General features: G+C 38.4%; 1 long non-coding RNA gene across 22 annotated transcripts in view, besides 4 other annotated features; it reads right to left on the bottom strand.

Annotated features, from left to right (window-relative positions):
• Window positions 1-22,301, bottom strand: part of CDKN2B-AS1 (CDKN2B and CDKN2A antisense cis and trans regulatory RNA 1) — a 133,352-nt gene that overhangs the window by 10,900 nt on the left and 100,151 nt on the right. For 5 of the 22 annotated variants that reach the window (NR_003529.4, NR_047532.2, NR_185851.1 and 2 more), the window contains 4 exons: window positions 20,729-20,871; window positions 19,879-19,985; window positions 4,848-4,923; window positions 3,444-3,577 (listed from right to left, as the gene is read on the bottom strand). The exons of 5 other annotated variants lie outside the window; for them this stretch is intronic. This is a non-coding gene — a long non-coding RNA (CDKN2B and CDKN2A antisense cis and trans regulatory RNA 1). The remainder of the gene's footprint in view (window positions 1-3,443; window positions 3,578-4,847; window positions 4,924-19,878; window positions 19,986-20,728; window positions 20,872-22,301) is intronic. 12 more of the 22 variants (NR_185863.1, NR_185862.1, NR_185864.1 and 9 more) reach the window with 5 other exon arrangements.
• Window positions 13,156-14,355: an enhancer, noted in NCBI's record as "BRD4-independent group 4 enhancer chr9:22102887-22104086 (GRCh37/hg19 assembly coordinates)". NCBI's record gives its function as "activates an origin of replication core promoter dependent on BRD2, P300/CBP, MED14 and CDK7 cofactors, and independent of BRD4, by STARR-seq in HCT116 cells {active_cell/tissue: HCT116}" and the evidence as "EXISTENCE:reporter gene assay evidence [ECO:0000049][PMID:35650434]".
• Window positions 13,156-14,635: a biological region, named in NCBI's record as "BRD4-independent group 4 enhancer GRCh37_chr9:22102887-22104086".
• Window positions 13,634-14,133: an enhancer, noted in NCBI's record as "H3K27ac hESC enhancer chr9:22103109-22103608 (GRCh37/hg19 assembly coordinates)". NCBI's record gives its function as "activates a minimal SCP1, AML or CMV promoter by ChIP-STARR-seq in primed H9 embryonic stem cells {active_cell/tissue: H9 hESC(primed)}" and the evidence as "EXISTENCE:reporter gene assay evidence [ECO:0000049][PMID:30033119]".
• Window positions 14,134-14,635: an enhancer, noted in NCBI's record as "H3K27ac hESC enhancer chr9:22102607-22103108 (GRCh37/hg19 assembly coordinates)". NCBI's record gives its function as "activates a minimal SCP1, AML or CMV promoter by ChIP-STARR-seq in primed H9 embryonic stem cells {active_cell/tissue: H9 hESC(primed)}" and the evidence as "EXISTENCE:reporter gene assay evidence [ECO:0000049][PMID:30033119]".

Here is a 22,301-nt window from a genome sequence, read left to right as displayed (position 1 = left end):
AACAAAATTTCATAGCATATAATAAACTGAGAAGTCTGAGCTCTTTAGAAATTAAGCTCTAAATATGTGAATTTTCTATATCTTAAAAGGTTTATTATAGTAAACACCCAAGACATTTTCCAAGTCTTTTGAATGGGAATTTCTTCTGCATGCATAAGATGCATAACATTTTTCTTCATAATAAAATAACAGCTTTTTGTTCATTATTAGAAGTCATTCCCCTTACATTCTTTCAACACTCCCAGCTTCCATTTGATCTTCCTCCCATATTTATGTGAGGTCAAGTTTACTTGAGGCCTTTCTTCCATGTTCTGCTTAATCTTCATGTACATCTGTAGTCATAATATTCCTTTTAGCCAAGTTATTCAGGAAGAATGGTTTTACTATTTGGTTACATCTGGACAGTTATGACATTCTCCAGTTTAAAACTCCCCAGTAACATCTCACTGTCATTAGAATGGTAACCAAATGTCTTTCCATGACCTATAGGACCTTTTATGGCCTCAGCACTGCCTATTTCTCCAATCAGCCTCCCTTTCATCCCCTGTGGTCCCACATTGGCTTTGTCTCTGTCCCTCCAATGGGCCAAGTTGTCTCAAGTTCTCTGTATTTGCCATTGCTGTTTCCCTCATTTTCATCTCACTGTCTCCTTCTCCTCATTTAGGTCTTGGGTCAAATGTCACCTCCTCAGAGAGGCTATCCCTGTCTTCCACATCAAGCAGGCTATATTTTCCTTCCTGCTCGATTTTCATCCCAGTAGTTATAGCACTATCTGAATACTTTTATTTGTTTTCTTATTTACTAGTTTGTATGTACATTCATACTCTGTTGGGTCTGTTATGCATTGTGAGGGAAAGGCTTTATCTGTTAATTAATGTATCACAGTTTCCAGAACAGTTGTGGCACATAAGACCATTCAGTAAATACTAGTTGAAGAAATAAACCCTGGCTCATCTCCATACCTACTCAAACTTATATCCGTTTGATATACACCGTTTGAGTATATCAAACAGATATACATATCATGGGGAGTACAGACTACCTTGTGTCTCATCACACATTGCATAATCTAGTCCAAATTATCAATTATAAAAGTATCCTCAGATGTTTGTCAAAACAGTAAGAAGTTGATCATGTCCAATGTCATTTGATCCAATTTTGGAAAGAGATAAAGAAGCTAAGAGAATGTTGAGCATACACTCTAATTTATTGGGCAGCTCTTTTCATACTTTTTCAACAAGACATAACTAATAGCTGAAAATAGTAAATAATCATGCTTAGCTGAAGGGATCCGAACAGGAGTAAAAAATGGTCCCAAGGGCTAAGTATCTTTGAGTTCTCATGATTCACTTATAAAATTCAGATGAATATGAATTTTTCATCCTAATTCATTACATATCTCAGTTTTATTTAATATAAAAGAAAATTTCCCCAAATTGTTACATATAAAATATGTCCTCCAGCACAATATGCCCTGTTTACCCTAGAAAACCACCAATAATCCCCAAGTCCATGTGATCCAAGCTGATAATCACATAGAAATGATTCTGGAAGAACCTTAATGGGAGCACAGGTCCCACCCACCCCTTGCTACCCCATGTACTTGTTCCCATCTTCACCCAAGAGAGGAAACACTCTGGAACTAGGGCAGCTTAAGTGAAGCAGAGTGAAAAGGAATGTGAAGTTTTGAGAAGAAAGAAAAGGCTAAAGTGTCTATCTTTCCACATTGCTTTTTTCAGGTTTCTCTTCGGAATCACTTCCCTGCTGTCTTTCTTTCCATGTACTTGGTGATGTAAAAGGTTTAAGTCTCCCTCGCTTCTGAGAGGGGAGACCCTGGAGTGATCATATATCGCAGTTTTCTCAGAACCATCCTAGTTTATGCATGCGTCCTGGCATAAGTGTTAGTACCCTGTTTTCATTTGTACAAAATATGCTCACTAAGGGACACCTTCCCCAGTCTTCCCTCCTTGAAAGTATAAGTAGAACCAAACTAAAGAGGTCATGCACAACATAATGTAAATCTTCTTCAGCCTAACTTTAAGCCACCAAGGAAGAGGAGTCCTTGTGACTCAGACACAAAAGCATTTGGAGTCCAAACATTGGTACATACTAATGAAGTTTCCTTTGTCTGACATAGCTCTACAGCTGGGAATCTATAATTACCATTTGGTGCTCATTGAAGATGGGGGGTTCAGGATTCAGGCCATCTTGCAAATACTACAATAACATTTCTAAGGAAAAGACAGAAGGGGCAACCAGGATAGTAAGGGAGAATTTGGTTAACTGAAAATCATCGGGCCATGAGTTAAAGTATTTTAAAATAAAGTATGATAAATGAAAGTATTTAGTCAGTAATGCAGCATAAATTTGAATGATTAGCTCTTTCAATGACATGGCTCTTGAAAGCAGGAAAGAAAAGACCATTATCTCATGAATTCACACACAAAAAATTGTTTGCTCTGATAGTAATTATGACAGCTATTGCAAGGAAAATAATAGACTGATGGTCTTAGCCGCTGCCTCTGAAATTCATCACCAAGTTTGTACTGAGTCCATGCTTTCTATGGCTGCTCCCAGCCAATTACTAAGCACAGCAGATGTACTAAAGCAAGTCCGTTCCTGAAAGATGCAGTACTCTTCTGGTGGGCAGCTTTGCCTTAAATACTCCTAATCAGCTTTGTCAAAACGTTCTTAGAATTGAAATCTTAAGGTTTTTCTTCTTTGCCTTCCTCTCCTTTCTCCTTCATGGGGATGAGTCTTACATAGTAGCCACACAGTCTGCCCAGGCTCCTCTATGTACCTCTCCATTTTCTCCCACAAGGTTTACCTCGGCGAATCTCTTGCACATCTAATTTCATCTTAACATCTTTCTCTCAGAGGACCTGAACTAACACAGTGATTCAAGTAGAGATATATTTAAGGGACAGGAAGAATCAGGACTTTTAATGTATTTAGGATGATTTGATCCAAGACCAAGAGGGAAAGTCACAGGTGATTGTAAGAGAAGTTTGACCAGGTATAAGAGGGAACTTTCTGAGAACAACTAGGTCATGACAGAAGTGGCTGTGACAGTGGGAGAGGAGGTTGGAGTAATCAAGGTCTGAAGTTGTTCATTTGCATACCTGATGCTACATAAGTTCCAAAGGCCAATTAGAGAATCTGAAAAGATTCCATTGTTTTTGGTACCATGTATATCAGTTGATATATGTGGTTGGATCCTTTTAAAAGGACTCGACGTATTTTCATTTGGACTCTATAGAGTCTTTTTAAGAGAATTTTACAAATTTTTATTTGGCCTTAGGGGCATGTGGCTTGCAATTTTTACATTTGTGATTACAAGGTCTTGCATAATTAGAAAAAGTAAAATAGAAAGTTGACTATTTGTATCAGATATTGAAATTTTCAGCCAATAGGAACACATTTATTATAAAAGCAATACTTACATTTTTATATTCCTTCACCATCTTCAAGTGTGTAGAGCTTCGTATCCCCAATGAGATACAGTAATGTTTGTATAACTGGAGTTACACATTGTTTGACATGCTATTGCATTTGATCTTACGTCTATGTTAAGATCCTGTGAGGCAAGCAGGGCAAAGAGCATTAAAACTCACTTTTGCAAATAGTGAGACTGAGGCTTGGGAGATTTAGCAAATATATACTAGAGTCCAAGCAAGAAACCAGGCTGCAGCAGGCAGAATTTCTAGGAATGACCCCGAAGATTTTATACCCTAGTCTCTGCAATGTGCGAATGTGATTGGCTATGTTATATAGCATAGTTGACCTTTAAGTAAAAGATTATCCAGACGGATGTAATCTAATCCCATAAACTCTTAAAAGCCTCTTCTGCTGGTGGCAGAAGAGAAAAGAAGTTACAGAGCTGTGACAGAAAGGGAAGTCAGAGATTTTCAAAGAATGAGAAGGATTTGACAGGCCATTGCTGGCCTGAAGATGGAGGGGATCATATGGATGGCTTGATAAGGAAATAAATTATGCCAGCAGCCTGAGAGTTTAAAAGGGACACAGGCTCCAGCTTGGGAGAACTGCAGCTCCCATTGATACTTTGATTTTGACCTGTGAGATTCTAAGCAGAGAACCCAGCCGAGCCACGCAGTGCCTGGAGGTCTGACACACAGGAACTGCGAGATAATACATGGGCGTTATTTCAAACCTCTAAGTTTGTGGTGACTTGTTATAATGCAATAGAAAACTAATACGTCAGTTTTCTCACTTCGTCACTATTTTTATCACATCACCCCTCCTCTTAACCAAACAGCAAGCAGTAAACTGAAGCACAGTACCAACCTTCTAGTTTTGCCGATGTGACTTTGTCTAGAATTTTAGCTTTCTTAGCACAATTTATTTTAGGCCTTACCTCATTTTCTTTTGTTCTGAACTTGTGGACTTTTACTCATTTTTTTAAGAAGACAGGGCTCTCATTTTCTCACATTGATTGCTTTTTGGAAAATATTTCAGGTAAATTATACATAGTTCAAGAAGAAATTATTATAAGATTAAATTTTGCTATAATAGTTTGGAAACACTTTAGAACTCTCTTTATAATATACTAAAAATGTCATGGGGATTATTTGAGCAATATAGTGAAGAATTATTGTTTTATCTGCCTATTCTACTACCTTCTATAAATTGCACTTCCTTTGTTTTGAGAATGGTCTTCTCCCAGTCAAACCAAGTGATTCCAAGAAAATATCCATGTTTTTATATAGTCAGCCACACATAATAGTGTATTGGTCCAGAGATGGGCAACATCTCCAATCTGAGACAATCAGACTTTTCCCAGGTAATTTTTGACTTTTCAACAGAAAAACCATAAGTTAATCTCTCACCAGTGGTGGATGTTGTAGAACGTAGAACTCGGGAAGTGCTAGCAGCAATGTTTCTTGCCATGTGAGAGAAGCCAATCTACAGTGAAAGAGAAGAAAGTCAAGCCAGGGAGAAAAGCCTGAGCAAGAGTTGGAGAGAGATCCCTCGCAGTGGTTTAACCCCTTGTTTTGGCTGTTCTAGAGTCCAGCTCTATGCTGTCCTTCAAAATGGTTTGATTGTTCAGTCCTTTCTGGAATTCCATTAACCAGTATGTTTCTTCTCTTACCTTGGTAGTTCAAGATGAGTTTCAGCCACTTACAACCAACAGAGATGTGACTCATACAAGAGAAAAATTTTACTTTGTTTTCCTTTGAAAATACTTACTGTGGTGGGAAAAACCTCTAGCCAAGAAACTCATCCAAGTTTCTCCAGGACACTTGTGATTTAGCTGGACTTCCATTTTTATTCCTTTCATGTCAAAATCAGAGCTTTAACACTAACTGCCATAGTTACTGGGTTGTTTTGCTCACTGCCACACCAAACACTCCTTCCAAAATGGTTTGTTCATACAAACACTTTAAAATTTTTAATGCTATCTTGATTATAGCAGCCCATAATTTGTCAGTGTCACATCATAAACATTTACTGGGTGCTTGTCTCACTTATTATCTACTTTCGAATTTCTTTAATTGGCACTGAAATTAAATGCATTTATAAGTGTTAGGTATTGCGAAAGAGATTTGGTAGGCTAAAGAGAGAGAAAAAAAATCTATTTCACTGTAAAAACCTGTCTTTCTATTTCTACTCATATTCCTAAAGGAAAAATGTCACATATATATGGATAATGTGAAATGTATAGTTTTCACATTTTGACATCTGATCACTTGTAAGAAAGAGATAGTAGTGCCAAGTATGAACTCATTCTCTTGTAATTAGCTAATACTTCACAAATAGAATCATAATATGTGCTTTGGGTGATTTTTTAAAAATGGAAGGCATTAGTCAGACTGAGCTTTGTTGAATCCCTGCTCTTTAGGAAGTTATTTTAAATTCTCCAGACCTTCCTTTTTAAAATAAGGATTCATAGAGTATTGTGGTTAAGGATGAAAACTATGGTAACAGACTGCTGAATTCAGACTTTGGCCTCACCACCAACTCACTCTGACATTAAACAAGTTGCTTGGTGACTCTAGGCCTCAGTTTTGTAGTGCATCTTAAGATGAACAGACAGACAGATACATACATATACACGCCAGGTAGTATAAGAATGTTCAAAGCCACATTGTTCATAACAGCAAAAAAATAAAATAAATAAATAAAATGGGAACAACTCAAATATCCAACAATGGTAGAATAAATTGTAGCAAAGTCATCCAATAGAATATTTTTCAGCAACAGCAATGAATAAACTATAGCTACACACATCAATATTGATGAATCTCAAAATAAAATGTTCATAGATTAATCAAGTCTTAGAAAATTCATACTATAGGATTACATTTACATCAAATTTAAAAACAAGTGTAACTAAGCCATGTATTACCTAGGGATACATACATAGATGGCAAAGCTAAAGAAAACAAGTTAATGTTTGGCACAAAATTTGGATAGTGATCACTTTCAAGAGTAGGAGCGGGATGAGATTGGGGAGGAAATACAGGGCATCTAAAGACAGGTAAAATGGTATTTTTTAAAAATGAGAGATGAGTATAGGGTTTTTGAATTTTAATTCTTCTATAAACTCTAGATACATGGTTTACGCACTTATACACAATGATTGCAAGACACAAAAAATAATCATAGTAACTACAACATTTTGAGAAAACTAAACAAGATCCTACATGTTTAGTGACAGTGTGTAGCATATACTAAGCTCTCATTAAAAGATGGGATCCATAGTGATGATGTTATGACATGCAGATATTTGTAACACTTGCAAAAAGAAAATACCAAAAAGTACTGTATCTTCATCTGTGTACACTGTTGTATTCCAAGACTTCTGGGAATCTATGTTAAATCCACAGTCCTATTAGAAATGTCAACTTAATGGTTTTCAAACTTTACTCATCCAAGTGATAGTACCAGAAGAGATACCTAGATTTTCAATCACAGCTAAGAATTCTACCTGGTTAAATAACAGGCACCCAGTGGATGTTCATACTGACAAATATGAGATGTTTAGTTGCTGATATCAGAGAATTCAGTTCAGCCTTTAAGGAAAAGTATGATCAACTAGTAACTATATCTTAGAAGAGAGAATAATAGTGGATTAAGTATCTATTTCAAACTATCCTAACTAGGGTCTATTCATAAAATAATAGAATTGTAAAATTAGTAAATCACCTTAACCATCACCTCATACAATTACTTATTTACAGCTAAAGAAGCTAACATTCAGGGAAGTCAATTGACTTCTAGGTAACAGTGAGTTTGTTGCAGTGTTAAGGCTAGAATACAAGTTAGGATGGAAGCTGCAGAAAGGATCCTATTGTTGGTGTTTATCAGACCAAATAGAAGGAAAGATGGGAGGTCATTGGGAGAGCAAGGGAAAATGAGTGTGATTAGGCATGGAAAATCTTGCACCAGCTCCCTTCAAAGGGACCATAGCAGTTGCAATCCACTTTAGGTTCCCCACAATAAAGCCTGATAAATCACTATTTGGGTAATACTTTTGAATGATCTCTTTTAAGGCCAAATTCCTGGAAAAAAGACAGACACAGCTAATACTAAATGGCAGATGACATCTCATATGTAATTTCAGAGAACTCAGCCTCTATCACACTCTTACCTCCATCACCAGCATCGAATACATTTGATGGGCATACAATAAAATACTTGCTCTTACTTATTCAGCTCTTGAACCATGTTTCTCCCTAGCCAGTCACCAATCTAAGGCAGAGTTTGTCATTATTCCTTCAATAAGTACACGCAGGAAACGTATTAGGGTTAAAAGCTCTGTACTAGGCACTAGGAATTTGATGAAAAGTGTTTAAACAAACTCTATTTACTCTATCCAGTCAGGGGAGACAGCGATTTATTCCAAAGAAAAAATAGACCAACAAGAAGTAACTCTGTACAGACGAATCCCCTCAACCCTTATGTGGCAAGGACAATTAAATAAAAGCTCATAAAGAAGCTTTGCTTGCTTCAGGACCTTATCAGCTTGAGCCAGCTGATAGGGAAAGTAGGTATTATGGCTGAACTCTTGAACCAGGAAAGGACCAGTCCAAAGTTTCTGTCAGGTGACATGACCTGCAAAACACTTTCATTCCTTGGCTTATCTTTATGACTGAAGAATGATGATCGCCTCTTATTTGCTGTAATGCTTAGAAAATGTTAAATTGCTGAAAGTGTCCCTAAGAGAATTTTTCTTCTGGGGAAAAAAATAATCTCATAAATTCAAGGTTAAATAAAGGAAGAGCAGCTTAGATTATCAAACTATGTTTTCATCTTTCAGTTTTGGGGTTTTTTTTATTTTGTTTTGTTTTGTTTTTGGTTTGGTCTGATGTTCAAAGGTTTGGTAGCCTTTGTAACAAGCAAAACGGCTTTTGAACAAAAACTAAACCCTTGCTTAACCTTTATATTCTAATCTGTTGTTGCTCCGTGGTGTTTGTAGTAGTCCAAAACAAGAAAGTATGACCTCATCAGTTATTCACTCACTGCTATTTACCAATTTAGTGAGTTTCATTGGAAATGGACAATTAAATATAATCCATTTGGGAGACTTTTTAAATTGTGAAACTGCTCAAATTTGTTTCTTTGTAAATGAAAAGGATGAGTTGTACACCAAGTATTTTTCTAAAGGAATAATTCAGTGTGCAAAGCCAAGATTAAGCCTCCATGTTTGTTAAGGGGAGCTAGGTTTGAGATCCTCAAGTAGGACTGTGACCAAACTGTATGATTTTGCACTGGTGTAACTTAACTACCTTATAACTTAAATACTGGTACAGCTGAAGGCAGAGTCGTAACCATTTATTGTCTATGGCCATACCACCCTGAACGTGCCCGATCTCACCAATAACTACTTATTGAATGACCAAGCAATGTGCATAGACAAGTGTTCAAACCGTTAGAGTAATACTCCCTTCTCGACTGATTTATTGTCAGAAATACTAAGTTAAATGGAGTACCCAGTCTACCTAAAACAATCAATACACAAAAGCTGTTCAATCAAATGCCAATCTCCAGAGCCCATTCGGAGAAGAACTGACTTATTCAAAATGGAGCATCAGAATACAGTAAAGTTACTTTTCAGAGATTAATTCTATTATAAAGAAAACAAAGTAGGAGAGATAGAAGGCCCAAACTAATATATAACAAAAAAATACATCTATCAGACAAAGTCACAGCAACTTCTTTTTAATCTCAGAAATTATTTCAGTTTAAGAAAACATAGTCAGAAAAACTAGGATTTGGGGTTGTATGTTGGGTTCTTCATTTTAGTTAACTTTCCCATTGACGGCTGGTTTGTTTCTTAGACCTTGACCCAACAATTCATTGAAGTTCTTTATCTGAGATGTAGAATGCCTTACCTAATACATTCCTTCTCTGTCCTTCTAAGCACATATTGTCCCTCCACAGGAAGTTCACCTAAAACTAAGTAATACAGTCAACAAGTACCTCATATGGAGATTCCCCCTGGCTGCCTGAAGGCCACATCATGACACTAATCTCTTATCCTTTTGGAAGACTATAATGACCAGTCAGTCATTCTCTACAAGACCAGAAAATTGTATGTATGGTTGCAGTGCTGGGTGGAGAAAGTCAGGACAGGAGAAAGCAGCTTTAGGTCATCCGCTCCAAGGCCCCTGATGTGGAAGGAACAATCACCTAGTACATACAAATGATCATTGTAATCCCCAGTACAAGGACTCGGGGTGTGGGAAAGGAAGCTCAGCTTGGAATTTGAAAGCTAGAATTGCAAGGTAAGAGATCTGAGAGTTTCAAGTGGGGAAAGTTTCCAGCATTTCAGAGGAGGCTGCTTTGTTTGTTTTTAGTCTAGACTGAGAGTGCAAAGGCTTAGGAAATATGCTTTAGGTTTGAAGACACCCTGGGGTTGTTTTCTTTCTCCACTTAGAGCCCTGGGTAATAATGCACATGCCAGTGCCTGCACTCAGAGTTGACTAACGGCTACCAATGCTACCTCTCTTTCTCTCCACGCCCAATCAGTAATGAAGGATGATTGCCGCTAGTTTCTTAGAACCACTTTCACATCACCCACACTACTGATGTCTTCAATATTTCAGATGTCTCAGTATTTCTCAACTGAATTAGAGCAACCATCTTCTAACTGATCTCCCTGCTGCCAGCATCTGATCTGCACTCCATACTGCCTTCTAAAGAGCAAATTTGACCACAAGACTTCCCTTTTTAAAAAGTTTTAGTGGCATCTGATAGTCTTTACCATGAAATGCAGACTATCCTAGTACAGTTTCTGATAGGACAATTACCTTGGTTCGAATCCTGTCTTTGCTACTGATCAACTTGGGAAAGTTTCTTAACCTGTTTGATCTTACATTTCCTCATTTATAAAATGAGATAACATTAGTCCTGCTTCATAGCTTTGTTGTTAAGATCCAATTAGATACTCCTTTTAAAGAGTTTAGCACTGTATTTAGTTTTCAGTAACTTTTGGTTATTATTACTATTATTATTTTACCACCTTACTATTAATAACTAAAAAAGCATTCCCACAAACTGGCCCCTTCTCCTTCCCCAGTTATGTACCTCACTACTGGTTCATCAATAATCACAGCTTTTATATATGAAGTGCCTACTTTGTGCCAGTCCCTTATGCCAAGGCATTTACATATATTATTTAATCTTTAACAACTCTCCAAATTAGTACTAGTACCTTCATTTTACAAATAAGAAAGCTGAGAATTAAGAGTCAGACAACTTGGGCTGGGCACGGTAGCGCATGCCTATAATCCGAGCACTTTGGGAAGCCAAGGTGGGCAGATCACCTGAGGTCAGGAGTTCCAGACCAGCCTGGTCAACATGGTGTAATCCTGTCTCTACTAAAAATACAAAAATTAGGCCGGGCACAGTGGCTCATGCCTGTAATCCCAGCACTTTGAGAGGCTGAGGCGGGCGGATCATGAGGTCAAGAGTTTGAGACCAACCTGGCCAACATGCTGAAACCCTATCTTTACTAAGAATACAAAAATTAACCTGGCATGGTGGCGTGTGCCTGTACTCCCAGCTACTCAGGAGGCTGAGGCAGGAGAATGGCTTGAACCCAGGAGGTGGAAGTTGCAGTGAGCCGAGTTCATGCCACTGCACTCCAGCCTGGGTGACAGAGTGAGACACGGTCTCGAAAAAGAAAAAAAGTACAAAAATTATCCAGATGTGGTGGCAGGTGCCTGTAATCCCAGCTACTCGGGAGGCTAAGGCATGAGAATCGCTTGTATCCGGGAGGCAGAGGTTGCAGTGAGCCAAGATCGTGCCATTGCACTCCGGCCTGGGCGACAGAGCTGGAGTCTCCCAGACTGACTCCATCTCAAAAAACAAGAGTCAAACAACTTAACCAAAGTAACCCAGTTAGTAAGTAATAAAGCCCATAGTTGAAATCAAAGCACATCATGCTCCTAATCTGTTTTTTATGACTACACTATGCTGTCTTTATCACACTTGATTTTCAAAAAATTGCCACAACAGTATTTCTGGGCCCACATGCTTTTTCAGGACATTGGCACTTCTCCATTCAGAGGTGAAATTTATGCTCCCTACTGAACCTGGACAGGCTCTTATAACCACCTCAACACAAGAGAGACTAGTGATTTCCAAGGCTTGGTCACAAAAGGCAATATAGCATCTGCCTGAGTCTCTCTTTTCAGACATACACTTTCAAAGGACTAAGCTGCCCTGTCAGAAGTTCTGCTACCTGAAGCTCCCATGCTTGAGAGACCTTGTGAAAATATCATGCAAAAATAGAGATTCATGAAGAGCTCTAGCTGCCCAGCCCCGCTTCATGCAATCATGCAGTCCCAGCAGACACTGCATGGAAGAAAGGTGAGCTATCCCACCCAAGTGCTGCACAACTTGCAAATTCATGAGCTAAATAAATGATCATGTTTATTTAAGTCACTAAATTTTAGGGTGATTTGTTATGCAGTAATAGAAAACCAGAATATGCACTGAAACCTCCAACACTAATCACTTTCATTTCCGCTGATGATATACCCTCCATAGTCTTCATATGTGCAGCTGCCTCGGCCTACAAGTCATCATGAGCCCACAATATCCCAGCCAGTATACACATACCCTCATTTAACGAGTTACTTTGCTTTCAAGAGTCAGTGTAGCTGTTGCAGTTTCAATCATCTTTCTTCAAATTGGTGAGTAGGTGGTTAAGGACCCAAGCTTCTAGTCAGAATACCTAAGGCTGAGTATTTTTTTGTTGACTCCTTCCAGGCTGTGAGACTTAACCTCTATAGACCCCTATTTCCTCCTAAAGAGAGTAATTATAAAACTTCTATCTTAGATGTACTGTGGAGATTAATTTATAGCTCCTAGCAAAGTCCCTGGTATTTAATATTCAGTGGTATTCAATATATGTTGCTCTTATTAGAGCACTATTATATTGCATCACAAGTGTCTATTTATTCTTCCATTTTCTCCTCTAAACTGTCAGTCATTTGAGAACAATAACAGTGGTTCTTCAATGCCTGGCACCTAGAATATGCAAAACACAATTTTTATTAAATAAGTAAATGAACAAAAAACAAACAAATGGTAAATGGATGAATAAATGAATGAGTGAATGAATGAATGAAAGAGTAGGTAAATATAATCTGGCTTCCCTTTAACTTCTTATACCCAGCATGTAGGAGAGGTACGGTGGTAGAGATTTCCAGTCCTGTGGGAAGTAGTCTTAGTGGCTGGCTGCATGCTTTTCTTCATGTCAGGTCCAATTTTTCTCTTTTCCTAGTGGTGCTACAGTACCACAAACATTATTTCTGAGTCTCCCTCATCCCCAAAACCATGTAGAGAGCATCCTCACTTGGGCAAGTGAAATGTTTTGATCCTGACAATCCAAACCAGATGGCAGGATTGTAAGAAAAGTCACTTCCATAATCTCACATGGCCTCTAGCTACAGGTTTCCTTTGCACTTCTAACCATTTTATAGCATGCCATCTAGGTGCCTGACCTTGCCAAGTAAAATCCAGTTAATCTTTACAATGTCATTCCTCTTTATGGCCTCCACGATATGGCAATGCCATATGGTGGCAATGCTATGGAAGGGACTCTGCTCTTACCTGTTAAGCAAGTTTGCATTGCACTAAGCAAATAATTTGCCTTCTGCCTCATGTATATTTCCCTAGTAATATCTGCTTAATGAAAAAATTGAGAGAAATTATTAAAGAGTAGCACAATATTGACTAATAAGAAAGATGAGAAGATTCTACATTTTATTTTTATTTCACAATAGAATTTACGTATATGTATATTTATAGATAAAATTCTGATAAGAAAAGCTCACAAGCTACAGATATGCTGGCTGAGTTGCAATAACCGTCACTGGAACGCAGTGCTATTCCAGTACATCAGTGTTATGTAAGGACATTTTTATTTCAATAGCCAGAAAACCCCAATGTGCCTGTTAGTGTTTGGTATGTCCCCTTGCCTCAGCATTTAAAAAGCCTAAAATATTTTTTAAAGGAGTACAATACAGGGGGTTGGCTGTCTACTCAAATAAATTGTTTTAAAAGCAAATGTGGAGTTTATCTTATTGCTGTTATTATTATAGGCTCTATGCTTTTTATAACTTTAATCTTATAAATTTAATTATTTCTACATTCTTTCTCAGGAGGAGTTGTTTGAAGTCTACAGAATGCTGAGGTTTAGAAAGATTTCTGAGGTGTGGCATCACATCTTCTGATTGGGCAGCATTCTCGAACGATGTGGGCCTTTGCTGCTGACTCACCAGAGGGCAGCAACTTCGAAGCTTGATGTCAGCATGCAGGAATGCCAGGCACTTCTCTCTGGCAACCCCCAGCTGTAGCCCAGAGTTAAGCAAAGCTTTTTGGGTTAGCCTCTGACCAACCTCCTGGCTGGACTTCTCAATGCCCCAATAGCCAAGCTCCAGAAAAGAAAATCCAGATCTTAGCAGGGCAACACTAAACTCTTCCAGCTATATATCAGTGGTGATAATGACATAATTGCCCAGTCATAGTTGGGATATGTGGGAAAGTGGGTATGGTTTTCTGGGCACCCCTCCCCTCTCTTCACGCACCACACACACACACACACACACACACACACACACACACACACACACACATCTGTTCTAGAATGAAAACCCCAGAATGCAGAAAGTAACCTGTGAATAGTCACTAGTAAGATTTCTAGTTTTCTGGATAGATTGTGTTTGTTTGTACTCCTGGTTATTTGACCTGCCTCAATTTTCCCACATTTCTGACTGGCCCAACTGAAGCCTCAGATGAGAGCAAGGACCATCTCTGAGGTCCATTCCACCTTAATAGTCTATAATCTCATGAATTTAGCTAACTGGGCACTTTCTGAGAGGACTGGCTTTCTAATGCTGATAAAGCAGGGCAGAGTTGCTGGCCACACCCTTGTTAGGCCCAGATCTATGAACACCTATTTTTGTATGCTATCTAGTTTCACATCTTTCCTGCTCTCTGCACCATGCCCTCACTTAGCAGAAAAGAAAATCTTAACTCTAAGGTAATTAGAATGTTCATATTTGCAAAATCTTTTAGATTGTTTTTGGGTTTTAGGTGAGTGTCTTATAAGAAACAGCCTAAAGGAGAGACTAAAGGAGCAGAGTAGAAGGCCATACGAAAACAGAGGCAGAAATTGGAGTGATACAGCCACAAGCCACAAAACACCTGAAGCCACCAGAAGGTGGAAGAGGCAAGGAACAGATTCTCCCCAAGAGCCTCTGCCGAGAGCATGGCCCTACCAGCAGAGGCTCTTGGACAGACTAAAATCAGAAGTCTTGATTTTAGACCTTCTGCCTCCAAACTGTAAATACATTTCTGTTGTTATAAAGCCATCAAGTTTGTGATAGTTATGGCAACCATAGAAAACTTACACAATCCCTTACACAGAATCATGTAGGTAATGTAATGAGCAAGCCATCTAGCAGAGAAATTCTGGTTTTAGTATCCTAGATAATTTTTCAGTACTAAAACTGATCGTTTCAAAGCCGGGGAAAAAAACAGAAAGTGAGAGTGGCCTATAGTAAAAACAAGAGCAAATGTGCAATTCAAAGGAATGCCTGTCATTCAGATGCATCTCAGTTACCATGAGCCCAATACGGCCAAATCTTCCCATTTTTATCAAATTTTTATCTTAAATTCCCTGCATTTTAAGTGTTGGTTTAAAAACCAAACAGGCAAACAGCACTCTGTGGGCACAACAAAATGTGTCTGAGAGCTGAGTTATGACCATAGGCAGTTGGTTGCAGTCTCTGGAGCTAACGGATCCTTCCAACAGTATTTAAGGTATGTGCCATAGACAGTTCATGACCGAACCAAGAACATGGCCATGTTGTCCTCCTTCAAAACCCAGTCTGCTAGCCCAAGCCACTTACATGCAAGCTCTGCCCATCCTTGGTATAGTCAGAGATAAATATTTTGTTGAAGCCTGAGATAGTGTATCAGCCTCTTGCTTCTAGGCCTCTCTTCTTAGTTTTTCTATGGTAGTTTGATTTGCACTCTTGTACATGTAGAATCTAGAAGCCATGTGTGTGTGTGTGTGTGTGTGTGTGTGTGTGTGTGTTGAAGAGGGTTAGGGTTGCAATGAAACGTGTGATTATTTTAGAAGGAAAAATAAAAGAAAACAAATTATTCACCAGAGAAAGCTGAAAATCAAAAACCATTTTTCTGTTCTTATTTTGCCACAAAGCTTTAATAGATATTTTACTAAAGGGAATGATATTTAGGTCAGGTAACAAGATATAAAACTGAGACATTACTTAAAATTGACATAACATCCATAATTTAATTTATTAAAAGTTGTTACTTCTGTGGCCATTTATCACATTTCTAGAGCTACCTATCTTTCAGTTTCAGACTGAGTATCTTATAAAAGCATTATAAAGTAAAACAATTCAACTAGATTGACTTTTTCAGTCTGCTTATGGTGGTTAAGAAGATTGTTATGAGCATTGAAAGTAATACACAGATTTATAACTCTTGGTTGAGTCTGCAGTGAGGAGGGAAAGTTGTAATTAATATTTATAATTGATACTTGTGTTATCATGGAAATACATACTCTGAAAATAAGAAGCGCAGTCTGTTGAAGGGTGTCTCTGAAAGGTAGAGGAATTTTAAAGATTTTCATAAATACAGAAATAAATGCATCTCTTTACTGGTGGATCATTATCCTCAGTCAAATTAAAGTTAAAAATACAAAGAATCCTAACAAGTCAAGAATAGGGAGGTAAACAACCCAGTTTTAAATTGGGCAAAATATTCAAATAGACATTTCATCACAGAAGACACGTGAATGGTTAATAAGCACTTGAAAGATGTCCGAAATCATTGGTCATTAGGGGAATGGAAGTCAAACCCACAATGAAGTACCACTTCACAACCACTAGGCTTAAGTCTGCCAAAAAGACAGGCAATAATAAGTGTAAGCAAAGATGTGGAGAAGTGGGAACCTCCATACATTGTTAGTAGAAGTGTAAACTGTTACAGCCACTTTGGAAAACAGTTTCTTAAAAAGTCAAACATTAATTTTCCATACAACATCCTACTTCTAGGTGTCTACCCAAGGAAATGAAAAAATACTTCCACACAAAGACTTAAACATAAACGTTTATAACAGCATTATTCATAAAAGTCAAAAAGCAAAAACGGCTGCAATGTTCTTCAACTGATGAACAGAAAAACAAAAGGTGGTATATACATAAAATAGAGTATTTTGTAGACACAAATAAAAAGGAATGAAGTATCATACTGACATTTGCAACATTTATAAACCAGAAAACATTATCCTAAGGGAAAGAAGCTAGACACAGAACACCACCTTTTGTATGATTCCATTTGTATGAAACATCCAAAAATAGGCAAAGCTATTTTAAAAACATGGAAGATTATGGTTGCCTGGGGATGGAGATGGGAATGGAGATTAAATAAATGAGCATGAAGGATCTCATTAGGATGATAAAAATGTGCTATAACCATTGTAGGAATGGTTACACTACTCAATGACTCTACTAAAAATCACTGAATTCATGCACTTAAAATGGGTGAAATTATACCGTGGAAGTTATACCTCAATAAAGTTGTTTTAAGAAATTAGAGGAATAATTAAAAGAATAAAATATAGTCAATAAAATACTATCGCCTTTATCCCATAACCAATCTGTCAACAAATGTGTCAATGCTCCTTTCTAAATATCTCTTACTTTTTATCTTTTTACATATTTGAAGTGCATAATACGACTAGTTCAAACTATCAAATGTACAAAATAGAACACAATGAAAAATTTTCCTACCGCTGTTCTCCCTCAGCCACCCAATGCCCCCCACTAAAAGCCACGGGTGTTATTTGTTTCTTGTGTATCATTCTAGAGACGCTTTATGCATCCACATTAACTTTATGAATACATACATGTGCATCTATCCATGCACACCTTTTTTCCACAACTTGTGGCATACTGAATATGTACTGCACATTCCTTTTTTTTACTTAATAATTAATACCACATCAGGATCTAAATGTGGCTCAAATCTTTTCCCTCTTTACCACCCCACCATCTCAGTATTTCTTGCCTGGACTACTGTATTTCATCTAATTTGAGATGCTATCAGTTATGTGACACACTATTATTTGGGGGCCCTTAAGAGACAAATAATGCTGCCAATGAAATTATAACATGCCATTGATTGTAAGATTCATTCCAATTTCAGAAAGAAATGACCAGCTAAAAAAGTACGTATATGTGCATCTAAAAACAAGAAAATATGTAATTAGAACAGTCTCCCAAACAGTTTCTTGCTATCAAACCCAGCTCCCCGTCAATTCATTGTCTCTTATCCTGCCAAAGTAATTTTTCTAAGTTTTAGATGGAATCTTTTTATTCCTCTACTTAAAATTTTGTAGGCTCCCATTGCTACAAGATGAAGTCCACATAACTGAATGTGGCATTCAAGTCTCTTCCCATTTCCGGCCTCCTTTCTCTCTACTACCCTATGCTCTAGACGTGCCCAGCTATTGGCTATTCCTCAAAAATGGAGTGTTCTTTCAAAACTGTGCTTTTGTACATGTTGTTCCCTCTCCCTGGAATACACTTGACCCCCTTTCCTCCTGGCTAAATACCATTTGTCCTTCAAGACTCATCTCTGGGAAAACTGCCATGAACTTTCCCAGTTCAATTAAATGTCCTTTCTGTACTAACACCCTCATTGTGCTTAATTCCATCAAAAGCACTTCTTGCCTAGTATTAGGCTTCTTTGTTTCCTTGACTGTCTTCACTACTCTTATTTTTCTTGCATTACAAAAGATTGCCACAGTGCCCTGAACACGGTAAGCATTCAGTAAGCATTTATTGGATGAATGTGTACTTTGGCCCCTAGATGTAATCAACACATCTGTAGTAATGGAGGTGTGGTCAGCACAGTGTAGGGGAAAGTACATGGGATCTGAAGTCAGAAGATGCCAGTTCTGGGCTCTGACATTTCTAACTCTCTGATCTTAGTTTGGCCAGTTAATGTTTCTAAGACTTGGTTTCCTCATCTAAGAACATAAACCTAAAAGGGCTTGCTGAAGGGACTCAATGAGAGAAAGTGTCTGAAGTAACTGATACAGAGTTGGTGTTCCAAACAGGACATCTTTTGTTAGAGTGACTGGAACATCCTGTGCTATAGAATGCATTTGATGTACCCTGAAAGCAAACATGCTACTGACATGTGGTTACAAGTGGACTTTGTTTTTCATTTTTTATTTTATTTTATTTTTATAAAGGTGATACATATCGTGTTGTTTCAGAAAGCATGGTGATAAAAAAAAAAAAAATTCTTGCCCATGGCATTTCCCATAACCCCTATAAGTAATAGTTTCTTTTAGATATTCCTGTGTTTTCTTTTTAAAATAAATGCTAACATATAAAGATATATTATAGTCCCCTCTTTTTTACTATATATAAATACATGTGATATATTTACTATAAATACATATACACATATAAATGTATACACACACATATATAAATATACACATATATAATATAAATACACACATATATAAATACACACACACACACACACACACACACACAGAGACAGAGAGAGAAAGATATTCCATCTACATTATCAACATTCTGTTCTGAGTGCTGGTGTTTTTTCACTAAATATCTAAATGGACTTTATGAGCCTCTAAATTTGCCCAGAATGATTCTAATCAAGGAGACAAGTATGTGGAAGGAGGGATTTTATTTATTGCTTCACATCACAACTCTGAACTATCAGCAAGACGTAAAAGCTTTGACTCATAGCCTCAAGTCTTTCTAAAGGGAACCACAAAGAAACTGCATGACTAGAACAGTGAAAAACCAAGTTTGCCTTTTATATCAGGCCAGGGTCAAAGAAATTGCAACAGGGCTGAAAGGGCTGTGAAGATGTTATCTCCTTATACTGCCTTGAGATTAGAGGAATGCAGCAGAAAGCACAAACATGCAGTCTAGTAAGTCTTTAGCACTACCTGCTACCTGCTTTTTATCACATGAATGGCATGTTTTCCAGCGAGCCTTCACCTTTAAAGGACAATATTATTCTTAGAATTGTAAACAAGTTCCCTTTTAGGGTTGTGGCTCAGGTACAGAATAGGATTTGCACTTTTTAAAGCTATGTCTGTACGGAAAGCAAAAGCTAGTGGTATAAGGAGGTGATGTGGGCCTTGTAAGTAGTTATTATTCTTTCAACTTTGTTAATCACAGCAAATGATGAAGTTATAAGCACAAAGGTTTGGCAAAATGTAGGCATTAGAATAACAGACCTTCATTTCATTGACAAGTTTAATTATGGCCCAAGTTGCTCTTATCCTCTTTCCCTTTTTCTGATATTTTTACTCACCTAAGTCACTGGTCTGAGTTCTTAAACTCTCATATGAATGGCCCCAGTTTAATCACTGTGCTCCTCATTCCCAAATTCCTGCCACTTCCTCTACTGAAGTTCTCCACCTGGGTAGGGAAACAGACTAGTTAGGGGAAATCCAATGGGCTCATCAGCACAGGCAGCAAGTTCACCATCTCATGCTGTAAATTACCATCACCTTGACCCAATTTGTCACGCGCACACAGTGCAGAAAATTTATCAGAAAGATTAAGAATGGGCTGGTGAAGAGGACAAAAGAAACTCCCTGATGGCCTTTGGTATGGATGGAAGACAGGTCTGCATCTGACCACATAAGCCCAGAGAAGTGGGAGCCTGAGCTGGTTTTCTACACCATATAGGACACAACACTGCAAATCCAGCAGGCAAAGAAAAATAAGGGCAGGGATCTCTGGGAACCAGCAAGCAAAGGCACAGAATCCAGCAAGGTGAGCGGGGTGGGGAGGGTTACGAAGGCAAGCAGATGATGCCTGAGTCTAATAGATTGATGAGTGAGCTGGAGAAGGCCAGGTGGAGGAGGGGAGAGGGAACAAAACAGGCTGAGGCACTAAATCTCTGAGTCTTGAAATAACATAGGGCATTTTAATAACTCCACATAGTTCCGTGTGATTGGAGATGGAATGCCAGTGGGACAGGGCCAGGGTCATGGTGAAAAATTGGAGAGGTGGCCAGAGACAAATAACAAAGGTCCTTGAGAGGTCATACTATATATCTTGTATTTTAACCAGAAGGCACTACTGGGAGCTACTGCAGGATTTTAAGCAGGGAATAACAAGATCAGATTTAAGTTGTAGAAAAGTCACTCTCATACCTATGTAGATCATGGATTTGAGCACTGTGTCCATAGCACCTTCCATACCATAGTGCGTTAGGCATCTGTGTGTCTCCACACTAAGCTGTAACCTCAATGAGGGGAGGGAGCATGTCTGTTTCTCATTATTATATCTCTGGTACCTAGAACAATGCCAAGTTCATAGTCAGGAATGAACGAATGGTGTCCAATCTCATTCATCTTTTTCTCTCTAATGCTCACACAGTACTTAGTGCAATGTAGGTAATAGATAAAGGTCTGCTGAATAAATGAATAAATGCTAACTTCTGCCTCACTCTCCAGTTCCATCTCTCAACATTCCCCAACATTTGTCCTATAACAATAAAATTGTATAGCTTTCCCAGATGCACTGTATTGTTTGCCTTACATGTGCTATTCCCTCTGATTAGAATTCCCTACCCCTATCTCCTATCTATCTAGTGAATTTCAATTATGTCTCAACACTCAGCTTAGATTTGACCCACGGGGGAGAAGCTTTTTGTAATACCAGTACCTCCCATCACCATGTGCAGAAACACACATAGGCTCAAAATAAAGGGATGGAGGAAGATCTACCAAGCAAATGGAAAACAAAAAAAGGCAGGGGTTGCAATCCTAGTCTCTGATAAAACAGACTTTAAACCAACAAAATCAAAAGAGACAAAGAAGGCCATTACATAATGGTAAGGGATCAATTCAACAAGAAGAGCTAACTATCCTAAATCTGTATGCACCCAATACAGGAGCACCAAGATTCATAAAGCAAGTCCTTAGAAACCTACAAGGAGACTTAGACTCCCACACAATAATAATAGGACACTTTAACACCCCACTGTCAACATTAGACAGATCAACGAGACAGAAAGTTAACAAGGATATCCAGGAATTGAAGTCAGCTCTGCACCAAGCGGACCTAATAGACATCTACAGAACTCTCCACCCCAAAACAACAGAATATACATTCTTCTCAGAACCACACTGCACTTATTCCAAAATTGACCACATAGTTGGAAGTAAAGCACTCCTCAGCAAATGTAAAAGAACAGAAATTATAACAAACTGTCTCTCAGACCACAGTGCAAACTAGAACTCAAGATTAAGAAACTCACTCAAAACCGCTCACCTACATGGAAACTGAACTACCCACTCCTGAATGACTACTGGGTACATAACAAAATGAAGGCAGAAATAAAGATGTTCTTTGAAACCAGTTTGAGATCTGAGAATGGACAGACTGCCTCCTCAGGTGGGTCCCTGACCCCCGAGTAGCCTAACTGTGAGGCACCCCCCAGTAGGGGCAGACTGACACCTCACACGGCTGGGTACCCCTCTGAGACGAAGCTTCCAGAGGAACAATCAGGCAGGAACATTTGCTGTTCAGCAACATTCGCCGTTCTGCAGCCTCCGCTGCTGATACCCAGGCAAACAGCGTCTGGAGTGGACCTCCAGCAAACTCCAACAGACCTGCAGCTGAGGGTCCTGACTGTTAGAAGGAAAACTAACAAACAGAAAGGACATCCACACCAAAACCCCATCTGTACGTCACCATCATCAAACACCAAAGGTAGATAAA

This window comes from Homo sapiens, chromosome 9, assembly GCF_000001405.40.
Source record: "Homo sapiens chromosome 9, GRCh38.p14 Primary Assembly".
In the NCBI taxonomy this organism is placed as follows: domain Eukaryota; kingdom Metazoa; phylum Chordata; class Mammalia; order Primates; family Hominidae; genus Homo; species Homo sapiens.
This window is presented reverse-complemented; position numbering and strand designations above follow the sequence as displayed.